Source organism: Homo sapiens, chromosome 3, assembly GCF_000001405.40.
Source record: "Homo sapiens chromosome 3, GRCh38.p14 Primary Assembly".
Lineage (NCBI taxonomy): Eukaryota > Metazoa > Chordata > Mammalia > Primates > Hominidae > Homo > Homo sapiens.
Window position 1 is genome coordinate 134,646,648 of NC_000003.12, and position 21,120 is coordinate 134,667,767.

Sequence of the window (21,120 nt, forward strand, 5' to 3'; positions counted from 1 at the left end):
GCAATCCTATTTCCCCATTTGTGTCATGGAGGGTGGTTCCTTTACACTGGCATTTGATAAGCCAGTCATCTGATCCTAGGGCTCACATAGCTGCGGGCTGATGGAGTTCTCTACTGGGGCTCTGGGAGTAGAGGTTTGGTCTCTATTAGAACCTTCACGTGCCCACTGTGCAGTGTCCCTGATGTTTGTCCCTGGAGGCTGGGCTAATGAACCCTAAAGGGAATAGAATAAAGCCCATTATACTTGGCCCCTTAGTGTTACCACAGAGATCCTGGGCCTGGGGTGGCAGATGCCTGGCACTGGAAAAAAGAGGCTTTGGAAGCTGACTTCTTATTGTATTTTGGGTCCCAGGCCAGCAGGGAGCTATAGAACCCTTGAGTGGCATCTTCTCAGGCTTCAAGTCATACTGTCCCAAGGCAGACGACTATCCTCTCTGTTGGGAAACATTTTCAAAAGATAGATGGCTGCCTCTCATAGGAGCACACTCAAACCTCACCATCCCAAGGGATGTTAAGTCCTCCCCTACGGCTCAGCCAGCAAACAAATGGGTGCTCAAGTTCCTGGCACTGCTCTTCAGCCACAGCCTCCAGGAGAGCAGGGGACCTGACTCCAGGGAACACTTCCCACAGTCACAGTGGCCCTTAGAGGCCTGGCTGGGTCAGGAGCAGCCACTTTCCGTTCAGTGGTTAGATGTCTAGGGCTAGTCTTCAAATGAGTGAAACCCAATTCTTCCAGTTATTATTCAATGTATTAAATCCTATAGGTTGAAAGGAAAAAGAGAATTTACCGTGAAAGTCATTTCCTTCTAATTTCTGCCATCTTCGGACTCCATTTCCAACACCTTGGAATCCTGCAAAATAACAAGCTTCTCTGAGGTGGGAGACTCAGGGCAAAAGAGTGATGTACCAGTTGCAGACTTATCTAGGTTATGGTAGAGCAGGTGGATCTTGGCTCTCTTGGAATCTGAGAGAGGCTACCCATGAATAAGATGCCCTTGAGGGAATGAATGCAACTCTCAAAATTCAAAACATTTAAAAACTGTTAAAACAGTTTTCAAGGGCAGCAGGGTTGGTTATCAGGGTCATTTAGGGAGAATTTTTGTAGTACAGATGCCCATTTTCCACTTCCACCTCTCCACTGCATACATATGAAAGCATTATTTTAGAAGTCATTTGCTATCCACATTGCCTGCCTATTTCTGTATGTGGTGAATCACCCACTTTTAGAGTCTTGATATAGAGTGGGGGGAGTGGGCTAAGACCGTCAATCCCAATGGGAATGGAAAATGACAGTTGCCAGTTCTCTTGGCCTCCCTTGCAGCTAGAGGGTAAACACGTATGGCCTAGCCATGGCCAATCTGATGTACCTGTGTTTCACTCTGCCTTGGGACCTGGTGATGCAACAGGGAAGGGAAGGAAAGCTCTCGCTCTGGCTGCGGCTGCAAGTGGTAGCCGCAAGGTCGAGTTCCTGGCACAGCATGGGGATACGTTCTGGCAGCGGGAGCTGCTGCAATAAAATTGAGATCCTGGCGCGGAAGGAGTATTCAGTGCTCCTTGGTGGCCGAGGAGGTTTCCTCACTAGACCAGCTCGTTGGTGCTGCTTACGGTACTGTTCCTGGAAGCTCAGCCTTGAGTCTTATTCTCCAGCCCTCTCAACCACTCAGGGGCCGCCACTCTCTTCTTAACACCCTTCTTTTCTGCAGAGCCCCCCATAGCCAGTGCCAGTGACTTACCACTTGGAACCCTCATGACACACCTATGGAGTAGAATACACAAACCACATAGACTTTTGGGATAAGACCTAAGACTTCAAAGCTCATTGGGTCTTGCCCCAGGCAGCTATAGGCTATATCCTCTACTGCTGCAGGAGTATATGCACTCTACTTTCTGATAGGAGTTGAGGGCTTTCAGGCACGTTTTGGAGAAGCACTGTTCTAGGGAAATGACTGGGAGGCTGCTAGGGCCTTACAGAAATGGGAGAGAACATCTGCTGGCTCTGCAGCCCAAATTCCTAGTGACCTAGCCTGTCCACACTCTCCTTGCCTTCTTGTCCCCCTGACTCTTTTCTTCCAGCAGAAGGGCCACTTCCAGCAGAAGGCCCTTCCAGCAGAAGGGCCACTCGTTACGGATTACTCCATCCTCTGCATTGCAACAATAATTGAGCTTTGATCTTTTCTGACATGGAGCCTAGGCCCTCTTTTATATAACCAAGGAAGATCCACTCTCCAGTGGAGGATCTGGAGTGTGGAGGAGAAAGGAGGAGATACCTGGAAGTGAGCAAGAGTTTGTTTTATATCTTGCACCCATGGGAGGCTTTGGAACAAGCTGGTCTTATTGGGCATTTTCCTCCCTTAGGCTGTTTTTCGAGGAAAGGGTCTGCAGGCTGGCTTTGCCTGGGGTCTCCTGAATATCATCTCTGCCCACCAGGCATCAAAAGCCATGCACTTTTCCTCTTCTCTGCTCTGGTTGTGAATAAGTGACACAGATCTCTACACTGTCATTCATAGCATCGGTGAGAAACGGCCATCAGAAAAATATTTGGAGAAAAAGTTCAGCAGAAAGGGCCCAGCCATTAGGGGTCTTTTTTTCTCTGTCATAGTCACTAGTGTGCATACATGAGTCTGGAGCCATGGCGAGTTTGTGCTAGGTGTTGGGCACCTCTCAGGGCAGTCCTGATGCCTGGTGTTTCCTGGGCTTCTCTGCATTCTTTGCCCTTTCTAGTGTCAGAGCCTTTAGAAGTGATGTGATCAGAGAGGATTGGGAGTAGGGGACTCGTGGGCTGACCTGGAACTAGGCCTCGCCACACACTGGAGAAGGCATTCTGGACTGTGGTACATGTATTCAGAGCAGTCTCATTTCTATCAAGAAGTTGATGCCCTCTGTTGACTTTCTAACTACAAATACCCTGGGCAGGCCATTTCCCCTTCTCCCAAGAGTAGGTCTGATAACTAAAGAGCCAACGAATCCAAACAACTCCTGCTTCAGTCAGGAATCAGCCCTGAGACTAGAGCGCCTGTCAACATACTCAGCCCTCTAGATTCTGTTTCTTTCCCCTGCCTGCCTTCCCAAGAGGTTCCCAGGGCTCTGGAGGCAGCTCCAGCCTATGTGGCTGGTAGTGGCAAGGCCATCCACAGCAGCATTACTTAAGCAAGGCAGGTGGAAGGTGGATGTTCAATGAGCACAGAGGCTCTGGGGACAGAAGAACCAAGGGCAGAGCAGCAGCAGGAATTCCAAGGAGCTCCAGAGCTGGAGGGGAGGAGAGAGGCAGAAGTCATTCTCCTGCATGGGCTGTCAGGCCTAACTCCTAAAGAACTGGCCCGCAGTCCGCCTAGTGCATCCTCACACCAGCCTCGGAGACAGCTTGCCATCCAGGACCCTGAGGTTCTCTGGCTTTTCAGGGGCTTATTTAACCTCCATTATCATCCCTCTGTACTCCATTCACATTGTGTTCTGTCGTCTGGAGAACAGAGAGGCCCGGATCCTGCTTTCCACAATCACTCTATAAACAGTCACTTTATTTTACCAATCTACAACTTACAAATTTACCCAGAAAGTGTGTAGGACAAGTAAAATTGATGGATAAGTTCAAGTGGAGACAGCAGGTTTCAAATCTTACCCTATCCAAACCTGCGTTCCTTTTACGCCTTTCATGCCTTCCATCTATAGGAGGCTGGGAGAAAGTCTCAAGAAAGGAGAAACTGAGGCTGTAAATTGTGCAAGGCCACACAGGGAGCTCCCCATCTAAAAGTCTGACTCAGCCCAAAGGTTTCCCAGCGTCCCCTGTGCCCTGCAGTGTGCTGTGGGGGGGAGCAGGCCTCTGCTACCCATGAGTCAGCCCTGAGGCTCTGGCCGCCTTCCTCCAGGGTATCTTCCAATCTTGCTCTACACCCGTTAGGGAGTGGCTGGGAGGAAAAAGACTCCCAGGGGTGACGGAAGCACCCACAGGCCTGCACAGGGAGTGAAACTGGGGCAATCACGGGGCTGCGCGTTGCCACGGGACTGCGCGTTGCCACGGGACGCCGGTGCCACTGCGGGGAAGCGACGGCAGCCATGGGGGAGAGGGTCGGGTTCGCTGACCTCGTTCGGGGGAGCAATGGGCGCCCCCCGGCGGGCAGGCCCTTGTGGCAAGGAGGCCAAGGTGCCGGGGGACCCGGGGACCCGGGTCGGGCGCGCGTTACCTCCTCCGCGCTGCAGCAGCGAGCTCGGGTTCGCCTGCTGGTCTGAGAGCGTACCCTGTGCGGCGCGCCGCTTCTCCGAGTGCACGATCAGCAGCATGTCGATAGATACAGCGTTGATGTCCTTCTTCAGCTCCATGATGCCGCCTCCTTTCCGACCTGGGCGCCGCGGCCGCACGCTAGGCTGCTTGCGCTGCAAATGGCCCCGTGCGCGCAGCTGCCCCACACGGGAGAGGGCGAGGGCGCGGAAGAGGGCGCTCCCCCGCCGCTGGAGCCGCAGGGCGCTGCTTTTCGCTGACTCTGCCAAACACGCCATTAGGGCCCGCCTGGGAGGGCGCTACCCTAATGAAGCGGCTCTAAGTCACCTTTGAAAGGAAATCCCCGGGCCCAAGCCTTGACCTGCACCGGGGCCATAGTCAGCAGGGGCGGCCGGTCCAGAGCCTCCCTCCCTGCGCCCCTGCCTCCCGCCCGGTGCACTTGAAGCGCTGGTCCTGGGCTCCAGGGCTTCTCTGGCTGAGCGCTGCCTCATCCCCACGGTCTCCGGAGGGTTCTCGAGAGGGCTGGAGCCGACCTCCCACGAGAAGCCCCTGGCAAATACAGAAATCGCACAGTGCTGTCAACATTGAGAGTAGATTCAGGAAAAGGAAAGACAGCAAAGGGGCTCCAGATTGAATTGCAAGATGTGCAGAGATTGTCCAAGTTTTGGCCTCGACCTCACTCCTTCCCTGGGTTGGTTTTGGAGGTTGACAGCTCTCTCTCCCTAGGAGGGAGTTGGGTGGGGTGTTGGAGTCAGGAGCTCCCCCCAGTTACGGCCCCTGTAGAACTTGGAACATGCCCATTGAGTATCAAGCTAACGATCCTCTTTGATCTGAAACGAAAGTCTTAAAGTCTCGGTTCGTTCTAGAAGCCTGGCTCCTGCCCTGTGGGGAAGGAGGGAGGGGGAGAGGAGGAGGCTGGGGCACAGGGAGCTGGACCTGAGAAGCCTTCTATTTTTAGCCCGGCCTGGCCTGCCCAGCCAACAGCAGCAGGGGTTTGGCTGTAGGTCTCAGGAGTGTTTACATAGGCTTCTGCCTGGTACCCCTGGGCACTACGGGCCCACCCTGCTGGGGGCGTTCCCCTAATTCGAGTTTCTACTGTTAATAAATGCACCCCCACATGGAGGCCTTTGCTCTGGGAGCCCTCCCCGCATTGGAGTGTATGGACCCCACCTTGTAGCATGGTCCTGAGAGTTCCCAGATCCTCCTTGGAGCAGCCTGTGTCACACAGACTGCATTCCAGTACCAGCTCCATCACTTCCTGGCTGTGTGACCTTGGACCAGCCATTTTCCCTCCACCTTCTCACCCTTATCACTGGGTTGATAAAAATTTCTCACATGGCTGTTGTGAGAATGGCATGAATGTAAGGCGCCTGGTGTATAGAAAGTGGTCTTCATATGGTAGCTGTCATTCTTACTTCATTTTAAGGGTGAGGAAAGGGAAAGATGGAGTGACAAGTGACTGATGGAGCAGAGAAGCAGGAGAGATGTCACAGCCACACTCTGAGATTCTGAAGGTCTTCCTCCAATAACAGTGGCTCAGAGTTTGGTTCCGTGTAAAGGCTGTTGTCTTATTGCATTACCAGCGCCCCCCCCCACCACCCCACCCCCTGACTCACCCACTGGGCATCTGATGGAAGGAGAGGTTGTTGGCTTCCAGTAATGTTGAACTGGAGTCCCTAGAGAGCTGAGGCCATAGACAGGCAAGTGGAGATGGCTGACTTCCAAGGCAGGTTTCCTTCTGCTAAAGTGAGTCTTGTCCTGTCTGTATGTGTGCAGGTACACACACACACACACACACGCGCGCGCGCACACCTGGGAGGCTGGCTAACACTTACTCTCTATGTGGCTGGGGAAGTAAGAACTATGCATTATGCAAAGCTCTTGGGGTGTTGGAGATTGCTGAGGCAGATCTCAGGTCCCAGAGTCCCCCCAACTACCCTGGGCCAGTCAGTGTTGTCTAACTCCTTCAAGTGTCAGGTTGTCTGAAGTGCTGAAATCAACTAGAAGCCTGTGTACAGCACCCTTGGTTGCCGGATGGGTCTGAGTGTTGGTGATGGTGGGGGGAGCTGAAGTCCCCTTTCCTTACACTTGCATTCCCATCTCCCAACCCTTGCTCTCCTGCTGGAAAGTGTCATTGCTAGGAACTCGCAAACTCTGGTGCCCCCTCCCAGAACTGCCTCTGGAGAAGGATATTCTGACCTGGGAATGTGCTGCCAGGGGTCTGGGGAAATGGTGTGGAGGCCTCCTGTCTCTCTGCTATGTCTGAAGACAGCTTCGGAGCAGGGCCTCTCATCCTTGGCGCTATTGACATTTTGAGCCAGATAATTCTCTTTGGTGGGGCTTTCCTGTACACTGTGGGATGTCTAGCAGCATCCCTGGCCTCTACGCATTAGATGCCAATCACATTCACTTCCCTATTGTGAGAACTTAGAATGTCTCCAGACATTGACCAATGTTTCCTTTGGAAAGAATTGCAGTGTGAACACCGCTTTGGAGCAAACTCCTGAAATTGGAGTCACCTCGACTGCTCTGGGAGATGCTGCTGCCCCTGGATCCTGATGGTGCCTGACACCTAGACCCTCTTCTCAGAGGTTTACCCATGGCCATCAGTCCAACAGCCTAGCTTCTGGGGCCTGCCAGGAGCATAGATGAGATGCTCTTCTTAATGCCAACTCTATTCCCATCCTTGGCCTGGGTTGACTTAGCTGCTTCCCCTCTTCCCCACTATCCATTCTTGGGCTGAGAGGGAGACACCATGGGGAAGGTGATGTGGCTGAAGGCATTTGGATGTATCAGGAAAGGGGAAGGAGAGACAAGAGAACACTGAGGTGGCTGGGATATCATTCAAGTAGAGGCTGTATCCCTTCTGCTCAAATCCTCCCTCCAGCTGCTCACACAATCAACGGGACAAATAACAGAACGCTCAGCCTGCAAATCTCCAGACCCATCTCTTCCTTTTTCCCTACCAAACCCACACATGCTTCAACAGAAACCATGTCCTCTACACCCCAAACACACCATACTAGCCCCTCCATCCTGCTACCATCTTGAATAAAAAAGATGCAAGGCTCTCTGTATTCCGACCTAAATAATTAATCTGCATCCTTGTCTTAGTAGCTGACAAACCAGGGGCTTTCTCCATTCTTGAGCAAAACTTTATTTTAATCAAAATGAGTGGGAATTCCAGGATACAGAAAGACAAAGGACAGTCAAAATAGTTGTATTGTCACCTTTGTCAAATTCAACACTTAGACACATCCAGCTGTCAGCAGCCCTGCATCCGATACTCCTCTGCTAGAAGGTGAGATTTGTCAGTTGTCTGAATGGTTCTGGGCCCTGAGTTGGTTCTGCTGTCTTGGAGATAAGGAGGGTTCACCAGGGGCAGGGCTTGCTCCTGGCAGTTGAAGCTGTCACCAGAGAGGAGTGTGTTTTGACCCCCACTGTTTTCCCTCAGAAATGGTAGTTTTGCTGGGACCATCAGTCATAGCTGTTTTTACCACTCTTGGGATTCCAAGAGGCAAGTTTCTCTCTTCTCTATAGAGATAGAGTAAGTAAGCCAATGCAATAAAGGCTTTTGGCAGGGAATTTTCTCCATTGATGACGTGGGGAAGAGGCACACAGAGAGTTCTGTGAGTTGGTGAAGAGTAACAGACCAAGTTCCAGTCTCCTAACTCCCTCAGCCTACCCTGAGATGAGTGAATCCTTACATGGGATACTGGATACCTTTCCCAGAAACCTTTCCTCAGCCAGTGTAGGCTTCCCATGGCCTCTTGACTGGCCTGGCTTAGCTTGATTCTGCTTCTGAGCCTTTGCTATTGCTATGATTTCTGCCTGGAAAACCCCTTTGGACTTCCCTGGCAAGTACAGTTTAAGCATCCTTCAAGACCCTGTGGGGAGGGTCTCATGAATGTGGTTTCACAGTTGGAGGGCGGGTATAGAAGGAACTGGAGCCATTCCCTCCCCTCTACTTTGAAGCCTTCCTGGGTACCCCAGTCCTTGGAGCTTCTGGGGAATGCCAGTTCTCTGTGGTGCCTCTTTTTACAATCCCAATAGTTAATTTGGAAGCTCACCCCTGCTCTTGTCCCACACCCACCAAATTTGGAAATCATATCAATCCCCTCTGGAGCAGTTATGCCAGGCAAACCTGTTTCCAGACACTGTCTCCCAGTAGGGTGATAGTGAACAATGTACTTAACCTCTCCGAGCCTCAGTTTTCCTCATCTGTCAAGTGGGTGAGGGTGTTGCTGGGATTAAATGAGATAAAGTACTTAGCTATGGGTAGTTATAGCTATGGCAACTTCCTGTATTCCAGCCAGACCCCCTGCTGGGTCCTGCTCTGGGGAAGGTCTCATGGATGTGGTTTCACAGTTGGAGATGGAGTATAGAAGGAACCAGAGCCATCTCTGACCTCCGTGTTGCCTTCCTTCTCATATCACTGCTCTGTGGCCACTGTTCTCAAACACAGAAAACCTCAGTGAGCCACAGAATCCATTCCTTGAAGAACTGATGTCAGATCTGTGCGGCTGCAGCCTGTTTGGCAGGAGTTACGGCACAGCACAGTTCTGCTTCCTTCCCACCCTGATGGCACTTGTGAACTCTCTGTGTGCATTCAGTAGGATAAACCTTTGCATTATCTCCATTTTATAGATGAGAAAACAGAGGTTTAGAAACCTAATGTGACCTACCCAAGGTCTCACATGTGTCTTACAGGTAGCAGGGGACACCCAACCCTTGACACCCCACCCAACTCTGTATGCTCCAAAGCTCATGTGCTGAACAACACCTGCCCCCCTACCCTATATGGCCATAACATGCCCATGAGCTGAGGCTGCATAGTGCCCGAGCCAAGGAAAAGATCAGCTGTCAGCCTATGGGGAAGATGGTCTTAACAATCACGATGAACACACCTTGACTCGGGGTTTCAAGACCTCTGTTGAGGTTCTTGGAAAAATTCTTTGAGCTCAAGCCCTGAGCTGGGCCTTTGGGGACAGATTTTACAGGCTCTGTGGCATCAGTTGTTTTGGGTGGAGAGAGAACTGGTGGCAGTGGCAGTAGTAAAAAGTTGGTGGCTGGGAGCATTCAGCAGTCTTCAGGAGCAGTAGCCCTGCCAGGGATGGAGAGGAAGTGTGTTGTGATAGTTCCATACCATTCTGGGGTGAGGATGGTTACACTGTAAAGAGAGCTTTCCACCTCTGCTAGGTTTGCCATGAAGACGTTTCCCAGCACAGATGACGGCTTGTTCTTGAGACCTCACTATGTGCAATGCCATAGGATGAAATGAAAGAGTAAGGACAGGGGAGAGGCATCTGTCCTCCCAGAGAGGAGGGGCCAGGAAGGCTACATCCCCAAACAGTGTCCTCAGGGATGAATGAGTAGGAGAGAGGGACAGGCTTTCCAGGCAAGAAGGAGCCTGAGCAGGAAATAGGAGGAGCTGGAAGGAGTGATGGAGGTGAAAGAGAAAAACGCGTGTCTCAGGAAGTGAAAGCAGGCCAGTCTGGTTGGTGCTATGGTGCAGGGGAAGAGCACTGAGAGGAGCAGAAGAGCAGCCAAAGCCAGTCTGCTGTGGGTGAAGCTTCAGCTGCCCATCTGAGTGGCGATGCTGATCCTGGTCAGCAGGGATGGAAGAGCAGGGACTGTTCACAAGTGTGAGGGTGCAGGTCCCACGGTTGCCTTAGACATGATCAAAACCACTGTCACCCGAAACTGGCCTTCTGGAGAAGATGCTAGGCAAGGGTGGTGATGATAGGAAGAGACAGTCAAGCACCACATACAGATGCTGTGTAAGAAAAGGAGGATATTTTGGGGTAGTGTGGGGCAGAGTGCCTGGGTGAAGTGGGGAACTGGGCTCAGATGGAGAGGACAGGCAGGGGAGACACAGAGCCTCCACCTAAGCTGAAGGGCCACGCCCCAGCTCAGTTGTCAGACTCAGGCGACCCATCTGGGTGAGCTGGGTCATAAAGTCCCATCAGGAGACAAGATGCTCTGTCAAATTCAGGCTCATTACTAACAATTTAGAAAGTGCAAGAACTATATAAAGAAGAAAATAAAGCCACCTAAATCCCGTCATCCCACCATCTAGAGATAATCACTTCTAAACATTTTGTTATTTAGTATTTCCTTTCATTATGACTACAACATAGAGTATAATAAGTGAACATTTATTATATATAGGTGTGTTAGTCTGTTTTTATGCTGCTGACAAAGACATACCTGAAACTGGGAAGAAAAAGAGGTTTAATTGGACTTACAGTTCTATGTAGTTGGGGAGCCCTCAGAATCATGATGGGAGGCAAAAGACTCTTACATGGCGGCAGCGAAAGGCAATGAGGAAGAAGCAAAAGCGGAAACCCCTGATAAACTCATCAGATCTTGTGAGACTTATTCACTATCAGGAGAACAGTATGGGAAAGACTGGCCCCCATGATTCAATTGCCTTCCTCTGGGTCCCTCCCACAACACACAGGAATTCTGGGAGATACAATTCAACTTGAGATTTTGGCGGAGACACAGCCAAACCATATCAATAGGTGTGAAATAAAAATGAATATTTTTATTTAAAAAGTATAATTGGTATTGCACCATATATAGTTTGGTATCATGATTTTTTTTCACTCAACCTGTAATGAATAGTTTACTAAAAACTCTTCAAAAGCTAATTTAAAAGATTGCTTAGTCACTTTTTATACTGACGTGCCACAATCCATTTTTCTATTTTCTCATTGTTGGACTTTTAGTTTGTTTTGCATTGTCTACTTTTATAAATAATGTGATAATAAATATCTTTGACTACATTTCTGGTTATTTCCTTAGAATAGATTCTTGGAAGTGGAATTACTGAGTCAAAGACTATGACTATTTTAAACATTGAGATATATATATATGAAATGTCAAATTGCCTTCCAGAAAGACTGTGCCTATTTACACTCATTAGCTGTGTATGTCAACCTCTCCATACACTATCACAAGCATTGAAAACTATTGGTACATCAACCTTTGCCATTATGATAATTGATATATGGTAACCTTTTCTTTTTATTTTATTTATTTATTTTTTTGAGATGAAGTCTCGTTCTGTCACCCAGGCTGGAGTGCAGTGGCGCGATCTTGGCTCACTGCAACCTCTGCCTCCCAGGTTCAAGCGATTTTCCTGACTCAGCCTCCGGAGTAGCTGGGGCTACAGGTGTGTGCCACCACGCCCGGCTAATTTTTTGTATTTTTAGTAGAGACGGGGTTTCACTGTGTTAGCCAGGATAGTCTCGATCTCCTGACCTTGTGATCTGCCCGCCTCAGCCTCCCAAAGTGCTGGGATTACAGGCATGAGCCACTGCGCCCGGCTGATACATGGTAACCCTTTCTAATTTTCATTTTTATTACCATGGAGATTGAACAATTTTTAAGCATAAATTTACCTTGTGTGTGTGTATTGTGTGTGCATGTGTGTGTTTAAAAAATTCATATCCTTAGTTCCTTTTTCCTAGTTTAGTGGCACAAATATTTAAATATTGGTTGGAAAAAAAATACTCTTCCAACCTACCTCAGATCTGTTGTATTTCGTAGCAAAGTCTGTGGCAGAGTCATGGTCATAGCTTTGATTACTTGAAGCTCTTTGAGGGCCAGGGGGCCAGGTCATGGTCTTACTCATTCCTGAATCCCCCAACACTTTGTGCCTATGTTTGTTGAACACAGAAAGTGCTCAACAAATGTTTGAATCAAATTGGACAGAATTAATGCTGCCAGCAAGCTGAGACTTCTTCCTTTAGCCTGGAGGTAGAACTGAGCTTTCCAGAGATGTGTAGCATTTGCTCTTCTGTGTCTGTCTCACAGACCTACAGGGAACGAAGAAGAAGGTTAAACGAGGACAAGAAGCTCTGAAGGCACCATCCTCCACATTGACAGAACCATCTGGAGCATGAATTTGGGGAGAGCTTGGTTCTGAGACAGCGCTGCTCAGTCCCATGCAGACACCAGCCCTGCTCCCTGCTCCGATCAGAGTCATAAGCCACGATTCATGCTGTTAAGAGCAATTTTCATTCTTAACCTTTCTGGTATGTCTCTTCCTGATCAGTTTGTCAGCCACTCCCTTTCTCAAAGTATTTCTGTTCATGACACCTTAATTGATTTTCCATATTTTTCTGTCCAGAGCTCATTAAAATCTCATCTTCTTGCATATAATAATGTGCAAGTGTGGGAAGCACTGCTTTCCAAATTTCGGGTACTTTGAATTTTGGAGTCTTTACACTCCATGGCATTCTTGGCCCTTTGCTGGGGAGGGAGATGATGAAGATCAATCTGTCTTTCACCACCACTTCCAAAATATCCTGGGCAATGCCAAGAGAGGTATCCAGTGGCACATGAGAGCGCATGGAGAGATTACCTCTTTAACCTAGCCAAGTGTTGATTACCCAGCTATTGAAATGCCCCTTGCATATTCCTCGATCCGCCCCTCTCTCTGACGTAAACAAGGTGTCCTCTGCAGGTGAGGCTTCAGTGTCTGCTCCATACCAGTCACCTCCTTCTGTGCAGAATTCTGCATTTCCATTTCCATGAACTCACATAGTCTTCACAATAGCCCAAAGGTGGGCTGATGCCTTTAAACCCATTTTACTGACAGAGAAAGAAAGGATTGAGAAATCGGTGCACACAGTTCCCCAGTAGCTTCTGGATGGGCCCAGTCCTCCCCTCAAGCCTAATGTGCTTGCCATTCTGCACGTTTCAGTGAAAAGGCATTTTTCCAGGAGCAGGCTGAAATGTGGGCCAGCCACTCGCAGGGCTTAGGCAGTGAGTGCTCCTAGTGGTGGGAGCCCCGAGAGAGGACCTCTCCTGGTGGTTCAAGATTGTCTGATCAGGTGGTGAGGAGGAACACAGAAAAGGGCTTTGGAGGATCTGAACAAAACCACGAATGAGCTAAGAGCAGCCTTTTGATTATTACTGTCGACCCCCAGGGGCCTGGCGGGAGGATGTTGGTGTTCATCGTCCCAAGCAGGAGTTGCCCAGTGGCCTGGATCCCAGGGGGCATGCGGGAGATTTTTCAGTGTCAGTGCAGACTCCAGCCTTGCCTGTCCCCGGGGCAGAGCTTCTAATAGGAGCCACGGGTATTTTTAGTCTCACGTGTGCAGGCACAGGACAAGGCGAGCTGGACAGGAACAGCTAATAAGCCGCGGTCCTTATTAAGTTGGAAAGGATGAAATGAGGGGATGAGGGGGAGCCTGGTGGAACTTTTCACACGTCTCATTTTCAGAGAACTCTCTTTCCATAATTCACAGAGAAATATTGAGGTCAGGGTGATTATGCACAGGCCCAGTGGCAGAAGCCTGAAAGTGGGGCATGTTCAATTCCTGTGGCCTGCCGGTCCCCTCCCCACAGGGCTCTGCTCTGCCCTCCGGGCAAGGAGGTTGCGATGGAGGGATGAGCGGCTTTGGGGCTTGGCTGTCAAGGCTCCTGGGGTGGTGTGGGGGCTTTGAAAAGGACTAAATTAGAAACTGGTTCCTAATATGATATGCAAAGCCACAGGGGATAGTTGAGTGGTATCAACTATTATCCTGAGTTCATAGATGAGGAAATAGAGGCTCAGGGAGGTGTGGGACTTGGTAAGGTCACGTAGTTCAGAAGTGGCAGAGCTAGGATTCACACTCAGTGTCCTAGACCAAGGTCTATCATTATTTGCCCCCAAGGATAGGCAGTTGTGTGTAAGACCCATTGTTCATTTTACTTAACTCACAAACATCTTTTTTTTCTATGCCAACTCTGTATCAGGAACTTTATCACTGGAATGGGGCAGTGAGGATGATACAATTCCTGCTCTCAAGGAGCTCTCGATTTAGTGAGGGCAACATAGCATCAACTCCCAGCTGGACTTTGGTGCAGTGAGTGTGCAAGCTTGTCCTGTGGGCAAAGCAGACTGGGAAGTGAAATTGGCAGATTTCCAATCTTTGGTGTTGAGTGTGAGGACAGTCAGGTCTCCACTAGTACAGTCCATTTTCCTTCTGTATGGCCTCTTCTGAGGTTGAGACTGGAGAGTGGGCTAGGAAGGGGCAAGTAAGTCCTCAGCCCCTTTCTGGGCCCTGCGGCTCTAAGCATTGTGATGCTTGGAGTCTGTGGCAGGAGTCCCTTAGTGAGGATATGGGCAAGGCTGGAATGCAGGTAGCACACGGGACTGGCTGTTGTCAGCTACCCACTTCCTCACCACCCCCATCTTTATGGTTTGAGAGCAATGGGAGAGAGAATGAAAATTGTGATTTGGGAGTGAAAACATTTTAGTGAGTTTCTTGCAGCCTTCCTGCCCAGCCCAAAGCCAGCCATGGCATATGTGCTTCTGTCCATCTATTTATCCCTCCACTCCACCGCATACTTGAGCACCATGCTCTTTCATATCCATCCATCCACTCCATCTATCCGATCCATCCCACTTAGCTATTCCTTCCATTGAAACCTAGACACCACTGTGCAAACCATCAGCCAACCCCACCTTTCTGTTCCTTCCGCCTAATATGCTTTGTCCATTCACCCATTCTTTATTCATTCAGTTACCCCCCTCCCCCATTCCCATCCAATTACGATTCCTTCATTCCATCTGTAATCAACACTATGTTCTAGGACTGTGTCTGATGTTGTGGGGACACACAGATGAACGAATCTCTCTCATGTAGTTGACCTAGAAGATAGTGTGTAGATCCACTTATGAAGATAACAATGGAATTGAAGAGGGTCCCAAGAGAAGAAACACAAAGAATCTGGATGAAGGGGAAGAGACAGAGCTGAATGACGAGCAATTGAAATGCTTGGCACTCTCCTTTCTGGGAAGATATTATGAAAAGAGAGAGAAAGAGGATAAAGGGGAAAAAGGGAAGGAAGACAGGAAGGCTGGAAGGCTGGAAGGCAGGAGGCAGGAAGGAAGAGGGGAAGGAAGGAAGGAGTAGGGAAAGAAGGTGCTATGGGATGAATATTTGTGCCCCCCCCCTCAAATTCATATGTTGAGATCCTAACTTCTAAGGTGATAATATCAAGAGGTGGAGGCTTTGGGAAGTGATTAAGTCATAAGGCTGGATCCCTCACAGATAGAATTAGTGCCCTTGTAAAAGCAGTTCGAAAAACCTTCTTTGATCCTTCCGCCATGTGAGAACATAGCAAGAAGGTGCCGGCTGGGCATGGTGGCTCATGCCTGTAATCCCAGCACTGCGGAGGCCGAGGTGGGTAGATCACCTGAGGTCAGGAGTTCGAGACCAGCTGGGCCAACAGGGTGAAACCCTGTCTCTACTACAAATACAAAAATTAGCTGGGTGTGGTGATGCATGCTGGTAATCCCAGCTACCCAGGAGGCTGAGGTAGGAGAATTGCTTGAACTCAGGAGGCAGAGCTTGCAGTGAGCCAAGATCACGCCATTGCTCTCTAGCCTGGGAGACAGAGTGAGACTTCATCTCAAAAAAGAAAAAAAAAAAAAGAAGGTGCTGTCTTTGAACCAGGAAGTGTGCTCTCAACAAACACAGAATTTGCTGCCACCTTCATCTTGGATTTCCCATTGTCTAGAGCTGTAAGAAATAAATTTCTGTTGTCTATAAGCCACCCAGTTAATGGTATTTTGTAATAGCAGCCCAAATGAACTAAGACAGTGGTAAAGAAGGAAGAAAAAATATGTATTGGATGCCCACTCTATGCTGGGCCCTATGCTAGATGCCTTCACAATCTTAATCATCCCAACAACCTTTTGAGGTGGTTAGTTGCCTGCATTTTAGAGATGAGGAACTGGGCTCCGAGAAGGCAGCTATTCAGCATGAATAAAACACAAAGAACAGGGCTAGTTCAAATATGTTTGCTAATACAGAGCATCAGAGTGGAGTTTGAAGCAAACATGTCTAGGACAATTGAAAAGCATGCCACTTGACAGATAGCGTCTGGGCTGTGCTGCCTGAAGGTGTACGTGGATAGCAACCACAAAGTCTATCACTCAGTGAGAAGGAGGTGGTGGGCATGCACAGCTATTGGAGTCTGATGCCAGGTTGTGCCTGTTTGACAGGGAACTAAACCATCCCTTGGCAGCTGTATCAGATCCAGGGTCCTACTGGAGGATTCCTGACCCTGGGCTCTCTGGCCAGAATTTGCCAGGTACCCTCAGTCCAGATCTGTGGGCATTCACACAGCCAGTTTAATGTCCAGCTTCGCTTTTCTGATCCAGGATCTCCTCTTGGGGATGGGGATGGAGGTAGAGCAGAACCCCAGAGAGGAGAGGTCAGCTTTGCCTCTCACTGCTAATGCTTCAGCCAGGGCTCCATGTGCCCCAGATACAGGCCCCTCTGGCACCCAGGATGTGCACAGTTTTCTGCGGGTACATCATTCCTGGCACTTTCTAGGTCCACCCCGTGCTCATTGCTTGGTACCACCAAACTGTCCCCTGACTGTTCTGATGAGTCTCTGAGGACTATTGATTGACAGTCGCTGTCCCATGGCTGAAGTATTCACAAATGTTTAGGTAGGTGGCTCAAGTAACCAAGAGCTCTAGTAACATCCCAGGGTGAAGGGCTTGGTTGGGGTGAGGCAGATCAGCAGATCACTAGACAGATGCCTTCTCACTGCTGCAGAGCCTGTGGAGTAAGGATAAGGCAGAGGCTGGGGGAGAGTGTCAGTGTTAATTAGATATTCTAGAATCATAGAGCTCTCATTCACGTGAGCCCTGCTGCTGCCCACAAACCCCGGGGGCCTTCTATTCTCTGAAGTCAGTCTGTCCGTCTGCTCAGAAACCTACTTGGCTTTGTCTTTGCCAATTCCAGAGAGCAGCATTTGGGGGAAAGGGAGTGCAGGTTCTCAAGTCCTGGTGCTGGGTCCAGTGGATCATTCCCTGGCATGCGGGGCCCCAGAGGGGCCAGGAAGGAGGGATATGGGGATGGGGAGAGTGGCTGCACCAGGCCTGAGTTACCTCAGCTGTCCTTCCTCTCCAGCTTTCCTCTTGGCATGGCGGGGCTGCCCACTGGCCAGCTCAGCTGTCCTCCTTGCTCACCATGTAATCCCTGCCAGGAAGAGAGGAGGGAAATCTGAGCCAGGCCTTCTCCCACTGCATCCTGCCATCCTGTCCTCCCTACAGCCAGAAGGGAGGGTAGGATGGGGTGGGGACAGGGAAGAGCAGGGCTTGGGGAGAGCTTCTAGGCCTAGCTGCTGCTGGGCTGCTGCAGGGGTGGGCGGACTGTGGGGTGTGTGGGAACCACAAGACTCGGGCCTTCCCTCTGGAGCCTGCACCTAGGGGCTGCTCTGGCCTCCTCCGGCATCTGGACACCTGTTAGGCTGATTCAATTTACCGCCTGCTCTTTGCTTCCCTGTGTCTTGGAGAGCCCCTACTGGGTATTTTTATTTTCATCCTAAAAAGGCCGTCTAGGAACCAGGGAGTTGAAGTCCCAGCATTCCCAAGTGAGTCACAGCTTCAGCCTCCTTATCTGTAACCCAGCAGCAATCACACCCTCTGTCCAAGGTGGAAGGCAAAATGAGGCAATGCAGAGTGTGCCCTCAGCACACAGCCAGGCACACAGTAGTGACTGCTCACAAGCAGCACCAGCCCAAACCTGAACCTAGGACACAAGCGCAGACATGCAGCCCTGTGGCTGACCTCACACTCGGGGCTTCTCTGGCATTTGGGATGGGAAGAGCAAGGACAGAGACAGCCCTCTGTGCATGTACCTCACTCTGGGATCTCAGATACATCAGGGTGGTGATGTGCGCACAGGTGTTTGTGTGGGGTGGCTCTCTATGGCAAGGATGGGGCCATTTGTTTGCGTTTTCCTAGAACAGCCTACCTCCTGGCACATGACAGGTGTTTCTTTAAGCAGTTTTGTGTGTGTGTGTGTGTGTGTTTGTGTGTGTAAACAAGCCATTCGAACTTTAGCTACCCTACTAGTACCATGGAATGTTGGAAGAGTCTTTTCATTTTTTTGGGCCCTGGTTTTCTCATCTGAGTAATGGGTATATTGATTCCTGCCTGAAGCTGCTGCTCTGAATTCAGCACTGGCTTGCTGCATGGCCTGCAGTAAATAAAGGGTTCCTTGACATCTGTTTCCCCTATCCCCCAGTGAAGATATTTTTCTCAGGTTGCTTTGGAGTCTGACCCAGGAAGAAGAGAAGGAAATGGTGGGAGCAACAGGGGCAGGGGAGGGAGCTCTGGCTTCTCAGCAGACACTCGCATGCTCTGTAGACTGAGGTGGGCAGAGCCACCCTCAGGTCAGGTGCACAAGGCCACTTCTGGTCCCACCCTGTAGGTCTGGGAGAAGTCCGGCAGGGGCTTCAGGGCACTCCAGACTGGCTTCTTCTCCCCATCTCCTGATATGAAGGGGATTGGGCTGGGGGAATGGGTCCAGGGCATCTACACTGCTGTGACCACTTCCTCTCAGTGAGAAAGGTCAGGGCTGGCCTGGTGTCCATGGGGGACTCCTACCTCCTGGTGCTGCCCCTGGATCTGGGGAAAGGCTACTGCATGCAAGGCTCCTCCCACCCCATCCAGTTCCCTGAGGCCAGGCTTCTGGCCCCTGGAGTGGCTGTTGCACAAGCAAGGTGGGAGCCTGGCCTGTTTCAAGGTTACCCAAGGCAGGCGGGCCCAGGGCTGGGCTTGGACCTGGATCACAGTGGTGACAGCAACCTGTTTGTGACAGTACAGTTTGCACTCCCCAGGTGGTCGCTGAAAAGCCACCACTGAGGGAGGGGCCTCCGTGATGAAAAGGGGCCTCTGGCCAAGGCCTGACAGCCATCTGTTCCCGGCCGCCAGCCCGGAGTCCTCCAGGAAGGGTGAAGACAGGGGAAGAGAGAGAGGGGAAACAGAGGACACACACACACACACACACACACACACACACACACACACACACACACACAGAGAGAGAGAGAGAGAGAGAGACAGGGACAGAGCGAGACAGACAGAGACATTGAGAGACAGACAAACAGACACAGAGACATAGGGACAGACAGAGGAAGAAAGAACAGCAGAAAGGCAGAGAGACAAATATGGAGGAAAGATAGCCAGAGGAAGGGAACAAAGACACTAAGAATGAGGATGAGAGAAGTCGAGGGGCAGAAAGAGACAGAGACCGAGACATAGGGAAAGAAACAGAAGGACAGGAAAGTCAGAGAGAGACAAAGAAAGACAGAGAGAACAACAGAAACAGAATGAAGGGAACCAAAGGGATCAAGAGACAGAGAGAGTGAGACAGGGAGAGATGAGAGAGAGACAGAGAGACAAGGAAATTCCCTGAGACAGATTGAGAGGGTGCTTGTGCGCTGGCTGGCATCAAAGTGAGGGTAGAGAGACAAAGTCCTGGGCAAGCTCTCTGATGGAAGGAGGACCCTCATGAGCCAAATCCCTTCCAGCCTCAGCACGTTCAGAAGGAAGAAGCCACACGGGATCACAGCCTCTGGGCCCAGGGTCCTGACAGTGGTTTTCAGACCTTAGTAGTCAGCAGACTCACCTGCGGGGCATGTGCAAATGCAGGTGCCTGGGACCAACCCAGAGTCTGATTCACAGGTCGGGGAGACGAGAAATCTGTATTTCTAACCTGTTCCCAAAAAAGTCTTTCGTAGGGATTGTACCAATCACAATGAGAAATGCTGCACCAGGATATGCCAAGCATTGGTCCCCCATCTCCCTCTCATCTCTCCCCAGACTGTGGAGCCCCTGAGTGGGCAGGGGGCAGGCAGGAGCCAGGGCACGAGGTGCTCTGAGGGTACTTTCTCCACAGTTGCTGGAGGCTTCCTATACCTTTTGCTTCACCAGCTAACAATCCCCCAGGAAGGGGTGGAGGCCCTTCATCAACCCCTGGAAGGGCAGCCTGGGAGGCACCTCGGAGGTCATGACTCAGTCCCAGCCACTCTGCACTGTTGGAGGAGTCTCTGTGGCCGGGCCAAGGCAAAAAAGACACATGACTCATTCATTTATCCAGCTCTGCTACGTGCCAGGCTCTGTCCTATCAGTTCATTTCATTCTCTTAAATAGATGAGGGATCCTCATTGATGCCACCTTAGGGATGAAGAAATGAGGTCTAGCGATGGCAAGTAACACACCCAAGGTCACAAAGCGAGTCAGTGGCACAGCCTGCACTAGAATCTGGGTCTGTTTTACCGGAAAGCCCATGCTCACTCCCAACATCCCCTGTCCCCTGTGTCTTTTAATGACTCTATTGCCTCTCAGGCTGAGATCCCAAACTCAGCTCTGGGCTCCTCCCCCGCGTCCTCCCCATCCAATCGGTGTCCGAGGCTACCAGTGCCAGATCCACAACAGCTCTCATTCATCACCATCTTTTTCCATGGTATGCCTCTTCCCAGATTCAACCTTCATACCGCTGGCCCAGACCTCGGCAGTCATCTTCCAGCTCACTTCCCCCCGACTAATGTTGTTACATAAAGCACTGGAAGTGAGTGAGATGATTTTAAGTGGCTATCTTTCCAGGTACTCTAACAAAACAGAGCCTAAGGTAAATTTCCATGCTAACATTTTACAGGAGAGGAAGGGTGGGGGTGAAATTTCAGGGCAGCAAGCTTGAGGGGAATGCTGTGAGGTGGTGGCGGGAGAGGCAAATTCAGGGGGTGCATTACTGAGTTGGTCACAGTCTTCAGAACAAAGCTTCTTTCTTTGGGCACCTGGGTTGTTTCCAGAAAAAGAATCATGAAAACAGTATGTGTGCATGGGTGAAAGGACAAGGAATTTATCCCCTCCTTCTCATCTCTTAACTGGCACTGGTGAAAGTTCACCCGGGGGAAGACATTAATTTCCCTGCACTTCTAGGTTGTTGCTTGGGCAGCCATGAGACACACTGACTGGGTGTTCAGCTGTGGCCGCTCCCACAGTGGTGGGCATGATGGTGGCTGTGCCATGCCCAGCCCTCACCCCTTGAGAAGGCAGAGATGGCTGGTCTGTTGGGAGTTAAAGTGAGGAAGCCAGTGGCC

The 21,120-nt window shown here is 50.4% G+C and overlaps 2 protein-coding genes across 12 annotated transcripts in view; one reads left to right on the forward strand and one right to left on the reverse strand.

Annotated features, from left to right (window-relative positions):
- The window catches only part of KY (kyphoscoliosis peptidase), a 51,100-nt gene extending 46,725 nt beyond the window's left edge, over positions 1-4,375 (reverse strand). For 3 of the 5 annotated variants that reach the window (NM_001350859.2, NM_178554.6, NM_001366277.2), the window contains exons 1-2: positions 4,178-4,375; positions 788-850 (exon numbers count right to left, since the gene is read on the reverse strand). In NM_001350859.2, coding sequence (NP_001337788.1) covers positions 788-850; positions 4,178-4,313 — 199 coding nt within the window. In that variant the 5' untranslated portion in view covers positions 4,314-4,375. The remainder of the gene's footprint in view (positions 1-787; positions 851-4,177) is intronic. The other 2 variants (NM_001366276.1, NM_001350860.2) reach the window with 2 other exon arrangements.
- CEP63 (centrosomal protein 63) overlaps positions 1-21,120 on the forward strand; it is a 296,836-nt gene that overhangs the window by 160,924 nt on the left and 114,792 nt on the right. For 3 of the 7 annotated variants that reach the window (XR_002959589.2, XR_007095735.1, XR_007095734.1), the window contains exon 14: positions 12,037-19,557. The exons of 2 other annotated variants lie outside the window; for them this stretch is intronic. The gene's annotated coding sequence lies outside the window, so the exon portion shown is untranslated. Of the gene's footprint in view, positions 1-12,036; positions 19,565-21,120 lie in introns of those variants that run through there. 2 more of the 7 variants (XR_007095732.1, XR_007095730.1) reach the window with 2 other exon arrangements.